This window comes from Homo sapiens, chromosome 12 (assembly GCF_000001405.40).
Source record: "Homo sapiens chromosome 12, GRCh38.p14 Primary Assembly".
Taxonomy (NCBI): Eukaryota; Metazoa; Chordata; class Mammalia; order Primates; family Hominidae; genus Homo; species Homo sapiens.
The window spans coordinates 73,362,057-73,365,861 of NC_000012.12; the positions used below are offsets into that span (position 1 = coordinate 73,362,057).

The 3,805-nt window shown below is 34.7% G+C and overlaps 1 long non-coding RNA gene across 1 annotated transcript; it reads left to right on the plus strand.

The window, feature by feature from the left end:
* Positions 1-1,014: 1,014 nt before the first annotated feature.
* LOC124902966 (uncharacterized) lies at positions 1,015-3,145 on the plus strand. The gene is made up of 2 exons (XR_007063368.1): positions 1,015-1,341; positions 1,753-3,145. It is a non-coding gene; the product is annotated as an uncharacterized LOC124902966 (long non-coding RNA).
* The last annotated feature ends 660 nt before the right edge of the window (positions 3,146-3,805 follow it).

Below are 3,805 nucleotides of genomic sequence, written 5' to 3' on the forward strand. Positions count from 1 at the left end.
AACAATAAAACATTAAGTAAGGAATGATTAGTTTGAGGAAAGGATATTATATATTGCTTCCCAGAGAAAGTGATTCATAAACCAAATCCTGAAGGAACAAACTAGGATAGATTTGTTAATAGGAGTTACACAGTATCTAGATCATTAAATAGGGAATCGTTAAATGTGTGCTGAATAATGCAAGTTATTTAAGTAATTGAGAATAGTATGAAAAAAGTCATAGAATAGGGGAGGAAGGAGATGTAAAATTTCTGTGGCAGTGTTAGTAAGAAGCCTGGCCAAGTTAAAGAAAAACATTACTAAGTGGGGCCAACAGAGAGATCCGAGGAAAGGAGATAGAAGGGGAGGTTTACACAAGAAGGTTCAGAAACACATGTATTATCCTTAAAACAGGGTTAGTGCAGCCAAGGGGTGAATAGACTGGACGCTAGAATTAGACTGTCTGCCTTAATAGACAGGTCATATTTGTTATAACTATGGAACAGTGGGTGAGTTTGTTACCTCTCCATGCCTCAGCATCTTCACAGTAAAATGGGAATAGTAACAGTACTTTCCTCTTTTTAAGAATTAAAAGTGTCATTACATATGTGCTTATGACTGTAGCATAGTTAGCATCATATAATGTCTTACATTAACCAATAAGAAAAAAAAAAACAAAATTCTGTAATACCTGGTGCACTGATATTACACAATAAATTGTCACTGAAGTGTTTGACATATTGATATTCGATCCCTCTTTTAATGAAGGCACTTGCAGTAAACACCAGCCTCTCTAAAGTTATTTTATTTATGGGTTCCTTTCAGCTCTAAAGGGATTACTGGCATTGCTTCTTTTTCTGGTGCCTATTATTATGTGGAAGCACATATTATTGCTGCCAGACTGGTTTCAAAGCAAAATATACTTTTTCACTCAAGACTCTGTAATTTAATATTGTCTAAGGTGTAAAAGCTGGTGATATATAACAAGGACTTTTGAGCTATTTTATAATTAATTGGCCTTTTCTTCTCTTTTTTAGAATTCATTGCAGATTAAAGTAGGCATTATGATTTCAATGGAACAAAAGAGTTATCTTCAAAACATGTCACAACTGCCTGGGAAAGCTCATAATAAGAAGCTACTAATGAGAACCTGCTAATAAGCAGCTCAAAAATACCTCAAAATAACTCAACCATGAGCTTCTCCATCCCCCAGTCCAACCTGCACACATCAAAGAGAAAAAATATGGAAGAAAATTGCATATTGATCATTACCTGAATTTTTGTTGTGGGGAACTTTTGTTGGGCACAGTTTGAGAAGCTTAATACATATGAAAAAAGGAAAATACTTAAATGGAACAAAATGTGAGTCCTATTATTAATAGACTGTTTCTATCTTTACCTCACTGGCTGTGAAAGCTGGGACAATGCTTTTCTTTATTTTTTTCTTTCTTTTTCTTTCTTGACAATGCTTTTTTTTCTTTCTTTCTTTTTTTCTTTTCTTTTCTTTCGTGACCATAAACATGAATTTGATTAGACCTTGGTAGACTTACTTGTAGAATCCAGGGTGTGGGAACACATTCCAACTAAAATTACATCCTTAATAAAGTTGGTGATAAGTATTCCTAGATAAGGTCTAAAGAGAAAGAAAACCCATTAGACTATATTGAGTATTTAGTAGATATTAGTTACATCGTGGCCCTCCAATAATGATTGTTCTTACCATTTTCCTTTAAAAAAAATCACATTTGTACCATTATCTGTTGTGTATTTTAGGTGGGGTTCCACATCCCTTTTGAAAAGAAAGGTTTTATGTGAACAATGTATCTTGGAATCAGTCCATCATAAACTTCTGACTTCTATAACTAGATCGAGATGCTCATATGACCAGTAAGAGTCTATTATAAACAATGACTTTTGCTTGTAATTTAGAAAAATGGATTTTCCTCTTACTACCAGAAGAGATGTGAGAGGTTTTGAGATCTGGAGCTTCTCCAGCCACTGTGCAATAATAAGAAGAGAGCCTGTTTGAGAATGAATCCATTTGAAATGACACCGAGAAGAAATTTTACTCAACCAAGTTTACTGTTTTTCACTTTTCATACGTTTTTGAGAACTTTCAGGAGGATGAATATTTGTAGTTGACAAAATATATTGCATGAGAAATTGTAACTCTCTTCAACCATTCACTTTCTCAAGATAAAAAGAAACAAGTGACTTCGCCTGTCATCCCAGCACTTTGGAGGCCGAGGCGGGTGAATCACTTAAGGTTAGGAGCTCAAGAGCAGCCTGGCTAAAATGGTGAAACCCATTCTATACTACAAATACCAAAAATTACCCAGGCATGGTGATGCGCGCCTGTAATCCCTCCTACTTGAGAGGCTGAGGGACGGGAATTGCTGGAACCCGGGAGGTGGAGGCTGCAGTGAGCCAAGATCGCACCACGGCACTCCAGCCTGGGAGACAGAGTGAGACTACATCAAAAAAAAAAAAAAAAAAAAGGAAAAATAAAAAAAAGTAACTTATCTGTACTTTTCTGATGCTAAATTGTAAGACTCATTTTTTTTTGTTGTTATTGAACATGTTTTATAAATTTTTTAATAGACATCACTGATGTTTTACAAGCCCCTTGTGTTTAGCAAACCTATTTCTGGTGTTTTGTTTTTGGTGGTGTTTTTCTTCATGCTAATTAATTTTTCTAAGATTATTTCTGAATGTGTTCTGAACATAGGACCCAAGTATATAGGATATCACAGATATCCTATCACAGATATCCTATCACAGATATCACAGATATCCTATCACAGATATCACAGATATCCTATAAGTCTGAGAACTAGCTGTCATCATTTCATGGTCTTTTAAATTTTAAATCTCAAGTAGCTAAAGTCTGAATAACATTAAAATATAAATAGACATTTAAAACTAGTTTTTAGAGAAATTGACAGTGAATTCAACTACACATATGTCACATAGTAATTGAATGCATTACCACTAAACTTTTTTTTGAACAATTTCTTGAAATTCAGTCTTTAATATATGTTCCCTGTGGTTTATCAAACTCTAAATGTCTGTTTGGTAAAAACTCAAGTTAGAGATATGGTAAGTAAATGACATAGCAATGCCTTTACATTGTACTTTTAAAATAAATTAGTGATTTCCAATTCCAGAAATAGCAGAGTGGCTTGTTTTGAAATAACCAGATCAAAGATAACATTTACAAACTCTGTGGGATGGGGGTGAGGGAAACAGTTGTAAGAAAGCATTAGAGAGCTATTTAAGTCAGGAATAAACTTCAGAGAATTCAATTCTCCACAGTGTAATTCAACAGGATGAGATCCAAGTATCCATGTCTTTCCCCTGCTGATATTTCCAAATCTGCATGAGTGTGGCAGTTAGAACTCAAGCAAAATGCTGTTGTGCTATCAGCTTAAGATTTCACAAAACAGAATTTTAGGTAACCCAAGTGACTGGAAATTAAAGAGGTAAGTTCTAGAAAGAAGGAAGTCAAAGCTGAGCCTACCCAAAATATATCTATAAACTCCTCTTAATGACATGACTTACTCCTAAGCTGCCTAGCCATGCAAGAAAGTACAAAGAGCCAAGTAAAAAATCAAGCAAATAAAACAAAACAAATAAACTAAAGCAAAATAAAAACCAAAGGACTGAAAGACCAAGAAGAGAGTCCAGGCTCTGCCAAAGCCTGGTAGGGTAGGAAGCAAAGTTTGGAGTTTGAGTCTTGCCAAATTAAAGGTGCTTAAAAAAAACCTTGAGTTTTCCAAAGTGTGCCTTACGAAGTATAAAACCAAGCCTTTACAAGTTCAAAGTG